This window comes from Homo sapiens, chromosome 20, assembly GCF_000001405.40.
Source record: "Homo sapiens chromosome 20, GRCh38.p14 Primary Assembly".
NCBI classification, from domain to species: domain Eukaryota; kingdom Metazoa; phylum Chordata; class Mammalia; order Primates; family Hominidae; genus Homo; species Homo sapiens.
The window spans coordinates 33,634,474-33,655,900 of NC_000020.11; the positions used below are offsets into that span (position 1 = coordinate 33,634,474).

Consider the following 21,427-nt stretch of genomic DNA (forward strand, 5'->3'; position numbering starts at 1 on the left):
CCAGCCTGGGCAACATGGTGAAACCCTGTCTCTACAAAAAATATGAAAATTAGCTGATTGTGGTGGTATGTGCCTATAGTCCGGCTACTTGGGAAGCTGAGGTAGGAGGATGGCTTGAGCCCAGGAGGCAGAACTTGCAGTGAGCTGAGTTCGTGCCAATGCACTCCACCTGGGCAACAGAGCAAGACCCTATGTCCAAAAAAAAAAAAAAAAAAAAAAAAAAGAATCTGAATATATGTGTTTAATGAGTTCAATAAGCAGGCAAGTTTGGGAAAACTGCCTCTAGTTAAGTCCATAGCAGATGGACCTCATTCAGTGTCACAGGGCTTCCAGGCAACTTTTTAGTGACATGTGTGCACAATTAAGGGTGACCACTCTCTAGAGGTAAGCCTCTAATATTGGAGACTGAAATAAACAGAAATGGGAATTAATAGTAGCTCTTCAGGGAAAAGAAAACTACCAATAATGTAGCATTGTTAATATCTCTGGTGAGAAAAAGAGAACAACATTAGAAATCTACCCAACTTATATATCCAAATCATGAATTTCAAAAAGAATGAGCAGAACAAGTAGAGAGGATAGAATAGTTATTGAAATAATTCCAAAAAATTACCAAGACCTGCAAGACAGTTCCAGGTTGAATCAGTCTACCAAGTAGACAACACAGGAAAATAAATAGACTTAGTCGTTTAGCATCATTGAAAGTTAGAAGACAATTCTGAAGGAAAATTATTTTAATTTAGAATTCTATACTTAACCAAAACAATTAAGTGTTAGATTAGTAACCTACAATTTTTCAAAAAATGCACCTCCTGCCTACCCTTTCTCCACAGTATCTACTGTAGGATATGCCTCAATATGTGAAAGTAAACCAGAAAATGGGAGACACTGAATTCCTGAAAGAGGATCCAACACAAGAAAGGAAGGAAAGGAATCCCTAGGCTGGTGAAGGAGAGCCCCAAGCATTAGTGGCAAAGCAGGCCTAGAAAGCGCCCAGTCCACGCTGGAACAGCCCAGAACCTTGCTAGAGATTTCCTTAAGTAAATGAAATTTATAAAAGATTTACACAACAGGAGGATAATTTGAGATTGAATTGGAAGTAATTACATAGCAGCCTGGCACAATGGCTTACAACTGTAATCCTAGCTCTTTGGGAGACTGAGACAGGAAAATTGCTTGAGGCCAGGAATCCAAGACCTGTCTGGAAACCCTGAGATAGTGAAACCCTGTCTGTGCAAAAAATTTAGAAGGGAAATTAGGCGGTCATGGTGGTACATGCCTAAAGTCCTAGCTACTCAAGAGGCTGAGGCAGGATGACCTGAGCCCAGGAGTTCAAGGGTGCAGTGAGCCAGTGATCAGCTGTGTATCACTGCACTCTAGCCTGGGTGACAGAACAAGACCCTGTCACACACAAAAAAGTAATTTGTAAAAATGCTGCCTTTCCTCCCCCTACATTTTTCCATAGGCTCAATGGTTAACAATTAATGTATTCTTGTAGAATTTTCTATGTACATATTTAAAGATAATGTTTCCTAATGTTTTATTTTGAAATTTCCGAAACACGTAGAAATTTTGAAAGAGACCACCCTGGCCAACATGGTGAAACCCCATCTCTACTAAAAATACAAAAAGAATAGCCAGGCAGGGTGGCGCACACCTGTACTCCCAGCTACCTCTCGGGAGGCTGAGGTAGGAGAATCACTTGAACCCGGGAGGCAGAGGTTGCAGTGAGCCAAGATCGCACCACTGCACTCCAGCCTGGGTGACAGAGTGAGACTCCGTCTCAAAAAAAAAAAAAAAAAAAAATCTGTGTGCATTTATGTTTTATACATTTATATTTTAGGGGGTACTGTACCTTAAAAACCGATGTTTATAGGGGAAAAAATTAGGACATAATAGGTAAGTAAAAAGAAGAAAGTGAAGATCACTTTTAATCTCACTACTTTGAAATACTGTTAATTTGTTCATTTGATGGGGGTGTGTGTTTTAAAACTAAATATTTACTGTACTATTTTATAATCTGGTTTTTAGCCCTTATATGAGAATTTTTTTATACTAAATGAAATATATGTTTGAGTCTAAGTGGTGAATGAGAAATCTGATCAAAAATAAAACTGCTGATCATAGACAGCTTCTGACCCTATGCTTTTTATGTCTCTTCTGCAGATTCTCAGAGAGAGTTCAACAGCAGGCCAGGTACAGGATACGTACCTGTGGAGTTTTGGAAAAAAACAGGTATGTGTCTGACTGCTTGTAGGTCATACATACTCACTAATTTGTGGGAGCAGAGAACAGATAACTGGGTGAATGGTTGGTAACTGGGTCCTTTGGTTGTATAATAACTTGCTCCTCATAGAGCTCTAGGCTCCTGCCTCTCCTGCTCTGGCTTGTCCTGCATGTCTCCTGATACCTGTCTTGTTAATTTGCAGGTCAGGAGTTTGGAATAGCTCCCTCCAGTCCCTTTCACACTCTTCCACTGGGTCACGCTGAGGCAATAAGTACCTGTTGACATGTCCTGTTTCTGGGCTTGCAACAGAGTTCATTTTGCCTGATCTCTTCACTGGTGGCTACAGTATACTGTGTTCACACTACTGCCACATTTGTGCCCAAATTCTGCTCTGGGCACAGCTCTGTAATCCCCCTGTGCTTTCTTTCACCTTCTCTGTGCCTACCATAGTGAAGACTGTTCTTGGTAGGCCTCCTCTTTTACAAGAATAAAGGAGGGTGGGGACTGCCTATTTTGTAAGTTCAAGGATGAACCTCACATCACTAATGTCAGCCTTATCCAAATATTGGCATTCTTTCACTTCTTGCCTCCCCATCCCAGTTTCATTTTTTAAGTCCAATACAACTTTTGGTTTTCTTACTAAGATAAAATTTATTTCTACAAAAATGTAATACCTACATTCATAAAGACTCTTTTAAGAGCATCTAGACAGTAGTAAACAAATAAAAGATATGAACAGACACATTATGCTATGAGAAATACAAATAAACATATTGCAAAATATTTTTCCTTACTAGTAGTCAGGATAATGTAAGATAAAGCATATCTGATAAATTAACCCCTTGTCTTTAACCGTCCGTTATTGACAATTTTAAAAGACCTTGTTGATGACACTCAATAATTGATCAGAGGCTTATATAAGAAATTAAGTGAGTACCTGCAGATTCTTGGAATCATTCCTCACTTTTCCTTTTTTTTTTTTTTGAGATGGAGTTTCGCGCTTGTTGCCCAGGCTGGAGTGCAACGGTGTGATCTCGGCTCACTGCAACTTCCGCCTCCCCGGTTCAAGCTATTCTCCTGCCTCAGCCTCCCAAGTAGCTGGGATTACAGGCATGCACCACCACGCCTGGCTAATTTTGTATTTGTAGTAGAGATGAGGTTTCTCCATGTTGGTCAGGCTGGTCTCGAACTCCTGATCTCAGGTGATCTGCCTGCCTTGGCCTCCCAAAGTGCTGGGATTACAGACGTGAGCCACTGCACCCGGCCTTTTTTTTTTTTTTTTTTTTTTTTTTGAGATGGATTCTTGCTCTGTTGCTCAGGCTGGAGTGCAGTGGCACAATCTCAGCTCACTGCAACCTCCACCTCCCAGGTTCAAGCAACTCTTCTGCCTTAGCCTTCCAAGTACCTGGGATTACAGGCACCCCCGACCATGCCCGGCTAATTTTTGTATTTTTAGTAGAGATGGGGTTTCACCATATTGGCCAGGCTGGTTTCGAACTCTTGACTTCAGGTGATCCACCCGCCTTGGCCTCCCAAAGTGCTAGGATTAGGATTACAGGCATGAGCCTGTAATGTGCCCAGCCACAAGATCTCTTTTAAACTAGTGAGTTTGATTATTTGGGAGATACCTTTGGTTAACTATGGTTAAGAGCCCAACTTTGGTGTTGGGCCAGCTAGGTTTGAGTCCTTGCTCTGCTACAGTGCCATCTGTGACCTTAGACGACCTCCAGTAAGATAGCTAGCCAAACCGAGATGATTATTAATTCATGCTTAAGCTGAGGGGATAAAATGTACCTAAGAGCATTGTTACACTGGCTCAATAAGAGGCATCTGATAAGAGACTTATGAAAAGTTCTTGGCCTCTGGGGTGAAGATTTTCTTAAGGCCAGAGCCATAAGATGGAAAGTTGTTTCATGGTAGCCTAGAACTCTGTGTTTGAACCTCCCTTGAGCCTGTGCCATGTGCAAGAGGTAAACCGTGAGGGAGTGTCCTTAGGCTTCTGGATTGTCTAGTCCTGTGGACTTACGTAGGGAGCTACGTATTTTGGGACTTCACATTCACATTCTCATTGGGCTGAGGCTCAAACATATGGAATGTGTTATTTTGCAGCGTCTACATTAGGGAAATCAAGCAGGGCATTGGTGATGGGAGGAAGTGAACAGGAACCAGGTAGGATGATGGTAAGTGGACAGGGTTTAAAAACCCAGGGCTTTTGGCAGTCTGCCCAAATCTATGTCTTTAGCCCTTGTTTGTGCACCTAGTCTTATTTATTTAATTGCCTCCTGGCCATTTACACCTGGATGCCCCAGAGGCACCTCCACCTTCTCACTTGCCTCCACACTAGCTTTGTGTGGACTGTCCATTTCATTGCCTAGCTTTAGCATTCTTCTCTTTCACCTCCACTTCCAGGCCCTTCGGTGCTCCCAACCTTTTTCTGCCTCATCCCTTCCTCAGTGCCACTTATTCCTGCCTAAATTCAGCCTCTTCTATCAGTTCAATCATTGCACCAGCCTCCCGGTTGCTATCTCTGTCTTTAATCTTCCCCTTGCATAGAATCCTTTATGGAGTTTCCTTTGAAAATAAAGTCAAGCCGACTGGGCACGGTGGCTCATGCCTGTAATCCCAGCACTTTGGGAGGCCAAGGTGGGCGGATCACGAGGTCAAGAGATCGAGACCATCCTGGCTAACATGGTGAAACCCTGTCTCTATTAAAAATACAAAAAATTAGCCAGGTGTGGTGGCGGGCACCTGTAGTCCCAGCTACTCAGGAGGCTGAGGCAGGAGAATGGCGTGAACCCGGGAGGCGGAGCTTGCAGTGAGCAGAGATTACGCCACTGCACTCCAGCCTGGGCAACAGAGCGGGACTCCGTCGCAAAAAAAAAAAAAGAAAATAAGTTCAAGCCGGGGGTGGTGCCTCACCCCTATAACACTTTAACACCAACGCTTTGGGAGGCTGAGGTAGGAGGATCACTTGAGCGCAGGAGTTCGAGACAAGCCTTAGCAACATAGTGAGACATCGTCTCTACAAAAAAATTTAAAAATTAGCCGAGTATGGTGGGACACGCCTGTAGTCCTAGCTACTCAGAAGGCTGAGGTGGGAGGATCATGATTCAGAGAGGTCAAGTCCGCAGTGTGCTGTGATCGCAACAGTGCACTCCAGCCTGGGCAACAGAGCAAGGCCCTGTCTCAAAAAAAAAGAAAAAGAAGGTCAAATTTCTTAGTCTGGCATGCAAGACTTTTTGCAAAATCTCATTTCCATCTACCATCTCAAGCAAAACACATGTCTTGATTCTCCCCTGCCCACTGAAGAGCTGATCACTTTTCTCCTTGGAACTCTAGTCTCTTACGATGACATACACGATGGCACCTGAAACACTTTCATACTTGGTCACAAGCAGTCAGGAGAGTGTGGCCTGTGTCTAGTCACTTGCGTCCACAGCCCTAGCTCGGTGCCCACCTCCATCTCCGTACCCAGCCAGCACCTGCATGGATGGACACATGAGTGTGAAGATCATGTGTTCCTCCCTGTGGAGTTTTAGAAAAGATCACTTTGTGTCAGCTCTCTCCTTACTTAGAATTGCCGTGGGATGGGAGGGAAAAGATTTCTCGGCCAGTTGATTTTACTGTCACTTTCTTCTAGAAGAAGCTGTGAATAAGGTGAAAATTCAGGCCATGTCAGAAGTACAGAAGGCCGTCGCTGAGGCAGAGCAGAAAGCCTTTGAAGTGATTGCAACAGAGAGAGCACGAATGGAGCAAACCATAGCGGATGTCAAGCGGCAGGCCGCAGAGGATGCTTTCCTCGTCATCAATGAGCAAGAGGAGTCCACGGAGGTCAGAGCTCTGCGCCCTGGGGGCTGGGGTGAGCAGCTGGAGTGACCACGCCCGCTGCCTTCCTCTCATACGCTGGGCAGGAAGACACAGGCAGTCCACTCTTGAGCTCAATGAGGATAATTTTTATCCAGTGCCAGGAGAGTTTTGGTTCTCATGCTAAGACTCTTTTACATGCCAAGATAGTGAATTATTACATTGTATTTTTACATACATACATATATATATAGAGAGAGAGAGAGAGGCTCAGTGTATTGGTGTAAATTTTGAGAATTCACCCTAAAGACAGAGTTTGTGTGATTGCACGATGATGATGATGACCAGCATTGACGGAGTGGGCTTACTGTGTGCCAGACACCCAGCAAAGTTGTATATTTTCTTTTTGAGTCTCACAATGGCCCTAATTTGCAGATGAGGAGACTGTGGCTCAGGGAATGCAACTAATATACCCCTTTGGTGCTGAAGTCAGGATACAGGAGTAAGAAAGTGCAGGGTCCTATAGCACCTAGGCTTTTTTTTTTTGAGACGGAGTCTCTCTCTGTCCCCCAGGCTGGAGTGCAGTGGTGCAATCTTGGCTCACTGCAAGCTCCACCTCCTGGGTTCACGCCATTCTCCTGCCTCAGCCTCCCGAGCAGCTGGGACTACAGGTGCCTGCCACCACACCCGGCTAATTTTTTGTATTTTTAGTAGAGACGGGGTTTCACCGTGTTAGCCAGGATGGTCTCGATCTCCTGACCAGCACCTAGGCTTTTTACAAATAGGATAGCTGGTTTGTGGACTGAAGTAACAGGTTGGGTGTATCTGCCTGATTGTCCAGGACCCAGGATCCAGGGCCCAGGACTTGGTGATGGTTCTATACAGGACGCTTGAGTACTACAGTGAGGAGAAAAATCAACAAACTGAAAAAGAATCTGTGACAACATGAGAACAGCCCTTTTGAATTTAATGCAGTTTTTCTGTAAATTTCATTTTAGTCATTTTTCAGCTTTAAAACAAGAAACCAGTTTCTTTCTGTAAGTAGGTAGATCTCATCTACTGGATGGGAGACCGGCTGTCTTTGGGACATTCTCTTGAAGTTCAGCACTCACTCTGTCACCGAGGCTGGAGTGCAATGGTGCGGTCTCGGCTCACCGCAACCTCTACCTCCGGGTTCAAGCGATTCTCCCACCTCAGCCTCCCAAGTAGCTTGGAGTACAGGTGCACACCACCGTGCCTGGCTAATTTTCATATTTTTAATAGAGATGGGCTTTCGCCATGTTGGCCAGGCTAATCTTGAACTCCTAGCCTCAAGTGATCCACCCAACCTTGGCCTCCCAAAGTGCTGGGATTACAGATGGGCTTTTTTTTTTTTTTTAACAAACAATAGAAATGTTATTTTCTTGTAATTTAAATGGTCCATTTCAGTATTGTACTGTCACACATGGCAATGTGCAGATGAAAATGCCTAAATACCACGTGGCTATCACAGAGGATGTGGTGAAATTCCTTATTACAGCTCTTCAATACAGATACTATGGATTGTGAGAAAATAGTTTCTTTAATCCCCCTCCCTTTTCGTTCTCTCCTCCTCCTTTGTCTTTTTTTTTTTTGTGTGTGTGTGTGTGTGTGTGTGTGTGTGTGTGTGTGTGTGTGTGTGGATAACAGGGTCTCACTATATTGCCCAGGCAGGTCTTGAACTCCTGGGCTCAAGCTATATATACTCTTGCTTCTGCCTCCCTAAGAGCTGGGATTACAGGCATGAGCCACCACGCCCAGCTTCTCCTCCTCCTTTTTCTTTAGAATTGTTTTTGAGGCTGGGCACAGTGGCCAATGCTTGTAATCTCAGCACTTTGGGAGGCCAAGGTAGTGTGAACACTTGAGCTCAGGAGTTCAAGACCAGCCTTGGCTAGATGGTGAGACCCCATTTCTGCCAAAAAAAAAATTTAAAAATTAGCCAGGCATGGTGTCATGCACCTGTAGTCCAGGTACTTTGGAGGCTGGGGCAGGAGGATCGCTTGAGCCCAGGAGGTGCAAGCCTGACCATGATCGTAACACTGCATTCCAGCCTGGGTGGGAGAGCAAGACCCCATCTCTTTAAAAAAAAAAAGAAAAAAGAAAAAAGGTGATGACGATGGCAAGATGAGGGGGAAAGAAAAGAGAATTGTTTTTGAGAGTGAGATATCTGTTTCTCTTCTCTATGTTTAACTGTGTATGTATAGCCATCCATATCAGTATCTGTATTTGTCCTTATTTATCTACTTTTATCTCTGTTTATCTTTAACTATGTCTATCTCCAAAGAAAGAGTATAGCTTTTGGCTTAGAGCATAGATCCTGGATCTGGACTGCGTAGGTTTAAATCCCAGCTCTCCATTTTGAGCATTGTGCTTTTAAGGAATTGTAATTTTAAATAAGCCACAAAGTAGCCTCCAGGTGAGGTGCACACCTGGACCTATCCCTGCAAAATCACTTTCAAAAGCAGGGAAGGGATAGAGGGCCTGTCCTTTGGATGAGTTTGCATTGGACCAAAACGGCTGATTCTCGTCCATCAAGAATGTTCAGCTAGAATATCCTTGTTGAAATTTGGCAGGTATTCCTGGAGTTTCTTGTTCATCTTGTGAAAGGTGGTCTGGTGTGGGGGAGGAAGGAGGCCAGGACTGGAGGTTAGGAGCCCTGACTTCTAGCCGAGTTCCCTCTCATACTGGCAGTATACCCTTAAAGGAGTCAGTCTCCATCTCTGTTCAATGAGTATAGCAGCTCCTATCCTATTGGTCTGATAGTTATTAGGGAACAGGCACAGTGGCCCATGCCTGTAATTCCAGCTCTTTAGGAGGTCAAGGTGGGAGGGTCCTTTGAGGCCAGGAGGTCAAGACCAGCCTGGGCAATATAAGGAGACTCTGTCTCTACAAGAAATTAAAGAATCAGCCAGGCATGGTGGCACATGCCTGTAGTCCCAGCTACTCAGGAGGCTAAGGTGGGAGTGTGGGAGGATCCCTGGAGCCTAGGAGGTCAAGTCCAGCTTGGGCAACATAGCAAGACCCTGTCTCCAAAAGAAAAAACAAAACAGCAGCAGCAGCCTTCGTTGAGTCAGATTATCAGTAAAAACAATGAAGATTATTCTCTAATGAGGGAAGCAATATCAGCTGGGCGCTTATAATCCTGACACTTTGGGAGGCTGAGACAGGCAGATCACTTGAGCCCAGGAGTTCAAGCGTAGCCTGGCCAACATGGCAAAACCTCATCTCTACTATATATATATATATATATATATATATATATATATATATATATATATATATATATATATATATAGTATATAATGTGTGTGTGTGTGTGTGTGTGTGTGTGTGTGTGTATATAATGTATAATTACAAAAATTAGCCAGGCATGGTGGCACATGCAGAAAGGAGTAGGATAAATGTTCGTCTTAACACATGTGGTCTTAGGATAGATGGCTCTTGGGGGAGACCCTGGCACAGAGTTTGGTTTGGTTTCTGACTATTAAAATGAGCCAAAAGATGAGTCCATGCCTTAGGCAGGAGAGATGGCCACCTGCCCTAGGCTGGTGCTGTGTAAGGTATTTTCACACACACATCTCATTTCACTGTTCCTGTCATCTTGCAGGGAAGTAGTTTTCTTGTTTTACAGATGAAGGAAACTCAGAAAGGCAGTGTGTATTTCTCATAGTTAAACAGCAGTAGAGGGCGGAGTTGACCACAGGTGTATGTAGTTCCAAAGCTGGGGTTCTCTACATACAGCCCCTTGCTTTACTGTGCAGGGAATGAATGGCAAGCCTGCCCCTCAATCCCAGCAACCACTAACTGATGCCTGTGTCTTGCAGAACTGCTGGAACTGTGGCCGCAAAGCCAGCGAGACATGCAGTGGCTGCAATATCGCGCGATACTGTGGCTCTTTCTGCCAGCACAAGGACTGGGAGCGGCACCACCGCCTCTGTGGTCAGAACCTGCATGGCCAGAGCCCCCACGGCCAGGGCCGGCCGCTGCTTCCTGTAGGCAGGGGCTCCTCTGCCAGGTCCGCCGACTGCAGCGTGCCCAGCCCAGCCCTCGACAAGACCTCGGCAACCACATCGCGTTCCTCAACACCTGCTTCTGTGACAGCTATCGACACCAACGGACTCTGAGCCCCGGACTCTGCTTACCCTGATGGCTGCTCAGCACCACAGAGTGCTTGGGCTGAGGGACTGACTGTTGGAACCCGTGCATGTAGCTGCCGGGTCATCAGCAAGAAATGAATTGGAGGCAGGAAGAGTCCAAGCCTGAATAATAACACCCCACAGCCTCTCTGTGCACTTGCTGTCTGCGGAGCCAGTGTGCCATTCTCTGCACATGGGCAGCCAGCCTGAGCTGCCTCCTCCATGGCTTTCCTGGTTTGTTCCTCTCTCCACTGAAGCTGACTTAGCCGGCCCCTTTTCAGTGTAGACCACCAGCTCCCCTCCCCATCTCCTTGAGTCAGCAGACTGTCCAATGTGCTCAGCCAGGCTGGAGGCGGCAGGCGGCAGGCAGCAGGCTGTGGAGGAGGCCCCTCGGTCAGGGAGCGGCCTGCCTCACCCCTGAATAGCTCCTTCGGCCCCATCTCCATCCTCAGCAGATGACACTGATTGGCCTCACGGGGACTTGGGTAAGCAACAGGCGGCATTCAGGACTCTTCTCAACCCTGCTGTTCAGACTTGATAAGATCTCAGAGTCCACAGGAAAGAAGTCACTGTTGCAATAAAAGCACCCGTAGTAGCAAAAACATAAAACAAATAAAACTTCCCCCACATCACAGATGATTTTGGACAAGATTTTCCAACCTTGCTGGCTACTTTAGTTTGGGACCTGTTTTTTTTCTCATTTGATTTTGCTTGTGCAGAAAATAGTTTCCAGCACATGGATTGATCTGAGAGAGAATGAGGCTCAGTTGTGGATAGTCTGTTTTCTCTGAGCATGTTGGCCAACTAGTATCGTCAAATTATTGAGTGGATCATCTCTTGGAAATGCAGAACTTCTGCCACCACTTGGCTATTTGCACAGTCATCTTGTTCTGTGTCCTTTTATCTCTCAGACCACACACATCTGGAACGCTGTGGGCATCTTCTGCCCATGGGCTCCATTTGGCACCTGCTGAGCCACAGTTGTCCTGCTGGATGTGCTGTGCAGGTTGGTAGGACTTGCCCCCACTGTCAAGGCCTGGTCTCATCTGAAAAGCCCTCCTGGACCTCAAAGAATTCTTCAGACCTCATAGTTACAGGTCATTATATCTACTATGTTGATTTATCATCAGGCACACAACTTCTGTTTCCTTCTCTTGTGTTATCTGATAGCGTCCCTCCTTGAGCTCATCAGAAAGGTTTTATGAAATGTGAACCATTTTGGGAAAAGCTGATCAATTTTTCTTCCTAGCTTCCCATTTTCAAATGGGACATCACTCATATCCCTTTCAGAATGTTAGGAACTGCCTCCCACATTCTTCCCTGTCTTTTTGGGTTTTGTTTTTTGTTGTTGTGGTGGTTTTTTAACACAAAGTCTCACTCTGTTGCCCAGGCTGGAGTGCAGTGGCATGATCTTGGCTCACTGCAACCTCTGCCTTCCAGGTTCAAGCAATTCTCCTGCCTCAGCCTCCCGAGTAGCTGAGATTACAGGCGCCCACCACCACGCCCAGCTAATTTTTGTATTTTTAGTAGAGACAGGGTTTCACCATGTTGGCCAGGCTGATCTCGAACTCCTGACCTCAGGTGACCTGCCTTGGCCTCCCAAAGTGCAGGGATTACAAGCGTGAGCCACCATGCCCGGCCTGTCTTTTTGGTTTTGATGGGAGTCTGAGGACCCCGACCCCTCCTGCTCTCCATCTTTGAGCCTCTGGCATCCTCTCACACCCAGAAATCAGTTGGAGTAAGTTTAATTGGCCCTGCTCCAGCTGGCCTTTGAAGCACAAGTTTAAATCTCCACCTTCTGTGCACTGACCAGAGTCTAAAATAAAAGTTGTCAGTACCATAAAGGAAAAGGGATCCACACAGGTAGCCTTCTCCTTGGATACAGGTACATCTTACTGTAAGAATTTCAAGTCCTGGCTGGGCGCAGTGGCTCACTCCTGTAATCCCAGCACTTTGAGAGACCGAGGCAGGCAGATCACTTGAGGTCAGGAATTCAAGACCAACCTGGCCAACATGGTGAAACCCTGTCTCTAATAAAAAAAAAATAGAAAAATCAGCCGGGTGTGGTGGCACACACCTGTAATCCTAGCTACTCAGGAGGCTGAGGCAAGAGAATCTCTTGAACCTGTGAGCCAGAGGTTGCAGTGAGCCGAGATTCCACCACTGCACTCCAGCCTGGGCAACAGAGCAAAACTCTGTCTCAAAAAAAAAAAAAAAAAGGCAAAATTAAAGAATTTCAAGTCCCTAATTTACTCTAACCAAGCATTTTCAGTCTTACAAAGAAATCTAGTGCACGACACCTTTAAAATGCCTAGATTTCCATTGCCTAAAGTAAGGTGTGACCAGTGAAACAACAGCAGAGAATCATGTTCCTTTGCTGTGGAACACATAAGCCCCACAGTTTTCCAGTCAGCCTAATACATGGGTATCCCCCGACCCCATCTGCCTCCTTAAGCCACAGTCCTTGGTGGGGAACTCTAAGGGGGACGGAGTCAGTACCCCGGACAGGGCCACATTTGCATGAGACATGGCTGTCTCACAGGTCACAGAGCCATTACAACAGCTTACTAGTTTTTCATGGATTTGTTGGATTAACACCTTAAGCAGGTTTTTTATTGTTATTTTGTTTGTTTGTTTGTTTTGAGACGGGAGTTTCTCTCTTGTCTCCCAGGCTGGAGTGCAATCGCGCAATCTCGGCTCACGGTAACCTCTGCCTCCCAGGTTCAAGCGAGTCTCCTGCCTCAGCCTTCTGAGTAGCTGGGATTACAGGCATGCGCCACCACGCCCAACTAATTTTGTATTTTTAGTAGAGACGGGGTTTCTCCTTGTTGGTCAGGCTGGTCTCAAACCCCGGACCTCAGGTGATCCCCCCACCTTGGCCTCCCAAAGTGCCAGGATTACAGGCATGAGCCACTGTGTCCGGTCTTGAGCAGGTTTTTAAAATCTCCAGTGGCCATAAAACTAGCCAGGGTAGCTCATGCTTTTACTGGTTGGAATAAGGAGCCAAAACCAACAAAATAATATTTATTAGGGCTCGATGCCCATTTCTGTGGCTAAGGCTTAGGTTTGGTGTGCAGAGCCTGGCCTGCTCTTGTGGGCTGTGGTTGCTGTGACAGTTTCGTTTTCTGAATCTTTGTAATGCTCTTCCACCCTGCTCGTGCTGCCCAGAGGCTGATCTGCAAACCTGGGCAGTATTCCACACTGAAGCTCAGTTTGCAAACCTTCTGCTGTGTTAATTCTGGTCAGTTTCACACAGAAGTCACGAGGGCCTCTGCCCAGGACCTTCTATTCACATTTCAAGAATCCCTTTCTGAAATTCTCCAACTCTCTGGTCAGGAGGAGGAGCACCATTGGGGCGGGGTAGGCAGCTAGAGGCGCAGGAGCGAATCCAGGTTCCTTGCGTGGTTCCCAGCCTCTGCTGACAGCACCTCAGCTACCAGGTGGGGAGTGGAAATTCAGCCTGCTTAGAGGACTGACCTCTACAGTTCATATTTGCAGTGACATAAAAGGCAAAGAGGAGCTGGCATGGTGGTACAGAAGGTATCAGTCAAGCGCAGGCTCTTCAGAAACCTAGAAACTAAAAAGAGATGCAACATGTGACTGGCCATCAGCCAGACATGTCTAGGGTGAGACCAGTGCTCAGCACCACCCGCCAAGGAACACTGATGAGTTGTGGGACATTATGGTCGGCCAAGTGAGGAATGATTGCAGGGACCAGAGAAGACCAAAGATGCCAGATGTCCCCAGAGTTTCTTGAGGGCTGGGTTTCACGTCTTTGCTTGTCCTTTTTGTCCCCACTTGCCTGCACCGTGCCTGACTCATCCAGTGGGGAAGGTGACTCAAGAAGTTGTTTAAGCCTAGGCCTAGGCAGTCCACTTCGGGAGGTGGGGGCACTCCACACTGGGGGGCCCTGCAGCTCCAGGGCTGGTGCTCTAGCAGATCCGCTCAGGCACGGTTGGGTGACCGTGGGGTCACCGATTGCGTAGATTATTTCTAGGGCAGTGCTGGGTTAGAAATGTCTGTCTGGAAACAGGACACATCTTGCCACCACAAGTCCACACCTGGCCTTGGCTGCTGCCCGCTCTCTGCAGCGTGGATTTCCTTTGCCCATTTGGGCCAGAAGGTCACCAGGAGTTCATCACTGCTTAGTGTCAACTTGACATCTTCAGCTTCCAGACAGAAAACCCATGCTTTACTTTGTACAGCCCTGTCCCAGAGTTAGTAAGCCTCGGCTTGTCACCTGCTTGCAAAGGGTATAGACATCATTCTGGGTAGTTCTAGAGGATATCGCAACAAGTGCGTTTGAAGGTTCAGCACAGCTGGAATTGTACGGTAGTGAGCTCTTCAAAATGAAAACAGAATGACCGGATGGCCATCTGTCCTGGAAACTGTAGAATTGAATAAATCACTGAAAATAGAACACTTCTTGGAGGCTTTCTTCAGAACTGAACTAGAAACAAGGTTTCCAGGCTCCCAGGTCAGTAGACCAAACCAACTTCCTTAGATTTTTTTTTTTAAGCTGTTTGCAGAAAACTGGGTGGTAGCGTGTCTGAACCAAACGGAAGAATAGCCAGCGGAGCATGGACTGTTCCAGCACGGGCCAGATGGCCAGCTGTCGAGAGCAGCCCTGCCCAGATTGCGGTGGGGGCTGTGCCAGCGGCTCCGCAGGGCCCTTCCAACTCTGGAGTGTCTGTAGTTCTTGTGAAACCAAAACGTTGACTACCTGCCTCTTTCCTCGGGCATCGACGTGCTCATTTCCAAAGATGATGGTGCAGGTGACCTTTTCCATCGTGAGCTAAGAGAAGGTTAGGAGGCCTGAGGGGCGGGCCTTGTGTCCCCTCCTCCCCCTCCACAGCCCCTGAGGTGGAGCTTCCCTCACAGACCCCATCTGGTCGAGCCTACGGCTGCCCAGTGTACACTCAGTGATGCTTATACCAAATAGGGCATGTGCGCTGGTGTCTGTTGGGGACAGCCCCATCCCTACCTTGGAGTCGGCAGAGAAGCAGCAATAAGCATTAGGCGAATGATTGAAAGGGCTGCTGCGCCAAGAGGCCTTCAGTCCCCTTAACGTGGCTTTCCAACTTCCTGACGAGGCTACAAAGGCTCCGCTCACAAAAGAAAGCCAATAATGTAAATAAATAGAAAACGAAGCCTCCACGCGTGGTTTTTAAAGGGGGATGATGAATGTGACACCACCCACAGAATGCATTAGAATCTGGTTTTTCTGTGCTTTGTCATTTTACTCTGATAGGAATTTTTGTTACCTAACTCTGTGCATAACTTATTTAATGTACTGTATAAATGAACCAAAACTGTTAAATATGTATTTAGTTTGTTCTACTTAAAGTAGTCAATAAAAAGGCTATATTCCTTTTCTGCCTCAAGCTGGAATGGGACCGGGAGGAAAGGTGGTCCCTACACTAGGAGGTGTCCCCTCACCCTAATTCCCAAATCCTTGAGGAAGAGGGAGAGAGGGGCCTCAACTGGTTCTAGTCGTGGCCTGAAGAGCATCCAAGGGCATGAAGCAGGGGGTGTCTGCACCCCATGTGCCTGGAACTGGCCTCTCTGGAAAGCCAGCTGCACCAACTGGTCAGTGCCCTGTGGGGACCAGGCCCAACCAGGCTGGCTGCTGGAGCCCACCAGTGGGCCTGCGGTCAAGGGCCAACAACAGCTTCCAGACACTCCCCGTTATTTCTTTTAAGTGGTGTTTCGTTTTGTTTTGTGGGGAGGGGGCAGGGTCTCTGTTGCCCAGGCTGGAATGCAGTGGCACGATCACAGCTCAGTGCAGCCTCCACCTCCCAGACTCAGGCAATCCTCCCACCTCAGCCTCCTAAGTAACTGGAACTACAGGCATGGGCTACCACGCCTGGCTGATTTTTTGTATTTTCTATAGAGACAGGGTTTCACCATGTTGCCCAGGCTGGCCTCAAACTCCCGGGCTCAAGCGATCTGCCTGCCTCGCCCCCGCCAAAGTCCTGGGACTACAAGCATGAGCCACTGCACCCGGCCAAATTATCTTGTAATAAGGAAAAATGAACCACAGAGAATCTGACCATCTGTCCTGCCTGAACAGGGTGGTGGACTTGTGGATATATTTTCTAGTAACATGTATTTTCTTGTAAAATTTTAACACAAATGTTAACAAACATACCTGGACTTGTCAAATATTCACTTATGTCCTTATGACACTGATGTTAAATCACAGGTAATTTTACTGTTGCCTTCCAATTTAATTTATTTGCTAAATGGTTGCATCATTTAATTGAGGCCATAATTTTTTTTAACCCTTCACCTTCTGTTGGGCAATTGGATCGCTTTCGCGTTTTCCAGTGTGGCATACATCTTCTATGCATACTCTTTCTTCGCATTATTTATTTCCCTAGGATAATTTTCCAAAGTGGGGGTTTTTGATACTGAACATTTCTTGGATCCTTGAAATCTGTACAAACTACTCTCCCTAAAAGCCCAACAGCTTGTGTTGCCTCCAGCAGCCCCTGGGTGGTACTTTCCGTGGCCCTAAGGCTGGTGCAGGCACACCTGTGTGTGGAATTTCAGGCTGCCAGTCCGGTTTACCAGCTGGTGAGCTGAGGCCTCACTTCTGTCACTCAGATACCCATCTGTGCTCTCTCCCTGAGACCCGCCTCTCCTGAACAGCCTTGCCCAAGAGGCTCGTTGGGACCACTAGCTTCACAATCCCCTAGAATGCAAGGGGAGAGGGACTGGTTACTAGATCTGGAGACGAGGAGAAGGGCTAGCCTATGGCGTAGGGGTTGGCTGTATGATCTTTGGTGCAGGTGGTGCCAACTGCAAACCTTTCTGGGCTGCACTGCAATCTGCCCACCTAGAACAATGACAAGATCTCAGTCATGGGACTGTCAGCCCTCCACAAGAGCACTATGTTGGTGGAAACGGAATGTGCCATAGAAATGGCAGGCTGAAAATCTTTTCGTGACCACAAAACACCCAGATGCCAGATAAATTATAATGAATGTACTTTTAACTGTATTGCTGAGGTCACAGATAGGACATTTCCAAGAACTCAAGAGTTGGAGGGAGATTGCCTCTAGGCGCAATGTGAGGCTTGGTTTTGAGCATATACAAAGTACGGAAACAAAACCGGGGCCTTTCCACAATGGCAGGTAGCTCAGCACCTTTGGCACCGTGAAAAGGCGGCAGGGAAAATCTGCCCATCTGCAATGGAAACTGAATTGGAAACAGCTCTGTCCCTGCTTGAGAAAAAGAAAGAAAAACTGGGCCGGGCGTGGCGGCTCACACCTGTAATCCCAGCACTTTCGGAGGCTGAGATCACTTGATTCCAGGAGTTTGAGACCAACCTGGGCAACATAGTGAGACGCCCGTCTCAAAAATTAAAAACTTAGCTGTACATGTCAGGTATATACTGAAGGAAGGTCAGGGAATCCTGGTGCTGAGAAATTAAGATAATTAAGGACCTTCAGGGTCAATATTGTGTGTCAACCAATTATAAGCTGTCCGGAAACACTACTGAACCTTCAAGAAAATGAGCCATTGTTAGCAAAGTCAACAGGAACAATAATTGATTTAACCCCTGGGACTTCAGATATTACAATCACCAGATACAGGCAGGGCACAGCAGTTCGCGCCTGTAATCCCAGCACTTTGGGAGGCCGAGGAGGGCAGATCATGAAGTCCGGAGTTTGAGACCAGCCTGAGCAACATGGTGAAACCGTCTCCACTAAAAATACAAAAATTAGCCGAATGTGGTGGCAGGCGCCTGTAATCCCAGCTACTCAGGAGGCTGAGGCAGGAGAATCGCTTGAATCTGGGAAGCAGAGGTTGCAGTGAGCCGAGATCACGCCACTGCACTCCAGCCTGGGCGACAGAGAGACTCCATCTCAAAAAAAAAAAAAAAAAAAAAAAAAAAAAAGCACACCAGATACAGAATACAAAATATGAAACCTCTGAAGATGGCACTGAAAAACAATGAGCAAAAAGAGTCTGAAAATGACTAGGCAGATTTGAAAATAGAATTCTGGAAATGACAATCATTGAAATAATGTGTTATTCACCAATAGATTACATCAACCTGAAAAAGAAAAAATTAGTGGTGCGTTACCTTTGTCAGAAAGAGAGCAAAGAGGCCGGGCGCAGTGGCTCATGCCTGTAATCCCAGCACTTTGGGAGGCTGAGGCAGGTGGATCACGAGGTCAGGAGATCGAGACCATCCTGGCTAACATGGTGAAACCCCACCTCTACTAAAAATACAAATAATTAGCCCGGTGTGGTGGCAGGAGCCTGTAGTCCCAGCTACTCAGGAAAGTGAGGCAGGAGAATCGCTTGAACCCAGGAGGCAGAAGTTGCAGTGGGCCGAGATCATGCCACTGCACTCCAGCACTCCAGCCTGGGTAACAGAGCAAGACCTCATCTCAAAAAAAAAAAGAAAAAAAAGAGACAAATAATTGGGAACTGTGAAAGATCTGTTCCTCTGGAAGGTTAGGAAGGGAAAGCCTTTTCATGTGTTACCAAGAGCAGCATCCAAGAGCCTGCTAATGTGTTTCTCAGCAGAAAGGGCACTGTCCTGAGGTGGGGATAGGATCTTGGGAAGCAAACATGTCTCTTGCCCGTCTCTGCTTGTTTCTGACTGCTGGTATTTCAGGGTCAGGGTCACGATTAGGCATGTCTCCTTCTTAGCCTTCCTTCCAAGAGGCTTGGGGGAACCAGCGACAGTCCCCACTCCACTCCTCAGGTGGGCTTCATTGCCTGCTGCCAGGAGCCCTCTTGTGGACAGAGCTGGACTTTCCCCCTGGGTTGCCACCATCCCTAAGCCAGATTCCTTTCCAGAGTACACACCAGCAGCTTTTCCTTCCCCTTCGCATCAGCATTTTCTCAGGCTGCCTTTCCACCCCATGAGTTAATATTTGCTAGGTTCCTCCTAGAGTTCCAGAAGTGATCGGGGATCAGTCTCCCCACCTTCTGAGGGCTGGCTCACCCAGGCCCTCGCACTGGGCTCGTCCTTGCTGCCCCGTCTGCCATTTTGCAGGCCCCGAGGCCTGGCATTGTTCCTTCTTTTGGTGTAGCTGCCTCTACCTCCTCCAGCTGGGGCGGGTTTCTGCTACCGGAGGGTGTCCTCTCCCAGCGCTGTTTACTCCTGATGGCTAGCAGCTGTTGGTGCCAGGGAGTGGATCCCTCCTGCGTGACTCGGAGCAAGGCACTTATTCACTGAGCTTTTTCCTCCGTAAGCTGGGGATGCTAACGATGCCTATACCTCTGGGGTGTTGCGAGGGTAAAATGCAATCAACAACATGGGTATAGCCCCTAGCACAGGGCCTGGCACCCAAGGCACCCCTGTAAACTGGTTGCTGCTATAACCTGTTTCTCTCCCCACCAATCTGTGGTTTCTTTGAGGATTGATCTTTGTGTCCAGCACTCTATGTGGAGCCTGGTGTCCTGCTGAAGTAGTATGTTTCGAGAATAATTTTTTGAAGACCACCTAATTCTCAGTCCCTTTCGGCTCATAAGAGACTGTGTTAAGGGGACTTGTTAGGAGAGCTGTAGGGCATTGGCCACCATCTAGACTGTTGCTATCTCCAGCCTGGCCTGGCACTGAGCCAATCCCTGGGACAGGTTTGAATATTTACAGGTGAGTCACAGGTGCAGGTGTGAGGAAGGGGAGAGGACAGGTGCAGGGAGTGGGTGGAAGGGTGGGGGCGGCAGCTGGCCAATGAGCCCGGAGCTCTCCTGACTTCAGGGCTCTGCCTGCCCTTGACCGAGTGCTGTCACCAGCCCAGAACATTTGATCATCCCCAGCACCTGCCACAAAGCAGGTGCCCAGCGCAGGATTGGGAAAGGCGCCCCAGCACAATGGCACTCACCTGCTCCTTACAGTGGAAGCGTTTCTGTGGCGGACGGGTGGCTTGGGACAAAAGCCACAGACAGGGTGACTGGGGTTGTAAATGGCCCAGCCTTGGCTGCCAGGACATGAAATTATGACCTTGATGCTGAAGGCAGTGGGTGCCATTGAAGGGTCTTGGCCAGAGGTGCGTTTTTCAAAATGGCAACATTTCGAAAGCCGCCTCTGGCTGTGTCTTTACAGGGAATGGACGGGGTGGGAGCCAGGTAAAGAAGTTGCTGCAGTCTTCCACGCCAGAGAGGACGGTGGCCCTGACTTGGGGGCTGGGGCGAGGCACAATGGTGGGGATGGCAGGCTACAGATGAGGTGGGCTCGTGAGATCGACAGACAAGGCAGAGGCTTGAGGGCTTCCTCCAGGTCCCCACAGCCCCAGCCCAGCTCAGACGTCTGTTCTGTGGCTGCAGCTCCAGCCATGTCTGCGCTCAGCTCCACCCCCACCCACTCCCTGTCTGGGACCCTCCTGTCTCCCTGTCACCTGCAAGACAACATTCCACTCCCATGCACCCGGCCTCCTCAGCTCGCCCCAGCCCTCACACTCCAAGGATCCCTTCTGCCCTCGCACCTGCCCGGAGACCTCTGCTCTACTTCCACAGCTCAAACCAAACACTGTCCTAAGAGGCCCCCTGACCCTGCTGGACATCCCTGCCTGCGTGCCCTCCTCTGCAGCTCCAGCTTTCAGGAGGGAGGACACAGCCTTTCTTATTAAAAATTGTAATAAAGAGGTGTCCACCTTCAGAACTGCACTGCAGGGCGAGGCAGGCAGGGTGCCCAGGGCACAAAAACTAAGGAGACGCCCACCACAGATAAGTCAGCCTGAGGGCTTGGGCATGTCTAAAGATGGCAGTGGGCTGGGCACAGTGGCTCATGCCTGTAATCCCGGCACTTTGGGAGGCCAAGGTGTGCAGATCACTTGGGGACAGCAGTTCAAGACCAGCCTGGCCAACATGGTGAAACCCCATCTCTACTAAAAATACAAAAAAAATTAGCCAGGTGTAGTTGTGTGTGCCTGTAATTCCAGCTACTGGGGAGGCTGAGGCAGGAGAATCGCTTGAATTCAGGAGGCAGAGGGTCAGTGAGCCAAGATCGCACCACTGCACTCCAGGCTGGGCGACAGAGCAACTCCGTCTCAAAAAATAACAATAATAAATAAAGATGGCAGAGGGAAGTTTTTTTAGTTTTGAGGATTTGTTGCTACAGTTTTTGTGGAGGACAAAAGAAGCCTTTACAACACAGGACGTAAAGCAGGGCGATGTCCTCCTCAGCTGTCTTCTCTAACAAGACACACTGCCCAGCCTGGGCAACATGGCGAAACCCCCATCTCTACAAAAATTAGCTGGGCGTGGTAGTGTGCGC

At 47.8% G+C, this 21,427-nt stretch overlaps 1 protein-coding gene across 3 annotated transcripts in view, besides 1 other annotated feature; it reads left to right on the plus strand.

Annotated features, from left to right (window-relative positions):
* CBFA2T2 (CBFA2/RUNX1 partner transcriptional co-repressor 2) overlaps window positions 1-15,557 on the plus strand; it is a 159,935-nt gene extending 144,378 nt beyond the window's left edge. For all 3 annotated transcript variants that reach the window (NM_001032999.3, NM_005093.4, NM_001039709.2), the window contains 3 exons: window positions 2,167-2,235; window positions 5,868-6,058; window positions 9,874-15,557. In NM_001032999.3, the coding sequence (NP_001028171.1) occupies window positions 2,167-2,235; window positions 5,868-6,058; window positions 9,874-10,173 (560 nt within the window). In that variant the 3' untranslated portion in view covers window positions 10,174-15,557. The remainder of the gene's footprint in view (window positions 1-2,166; window positions 2,236-5,867; window positions 6,059-9,873) is intronic.
* Window positions 18,663-19,251: an enhancer, noted in NCBI's record as "H3K27ac-H3K4me1 hESC enhancer chr20:32240942-32241530 (GRCh37/hg19 assembly coordinates)". NCBI's record gives its function as "activates a minimal SCP1, AML or CMV promoter by ChIP-STARR-seq in naive H9 embryonic stem cells {active_cell/tissue: H9 hESC(naive)}" and the evidence as "EXISTENCE:reporter gene assay evidence [ECO:0000049][PMID:30033119]".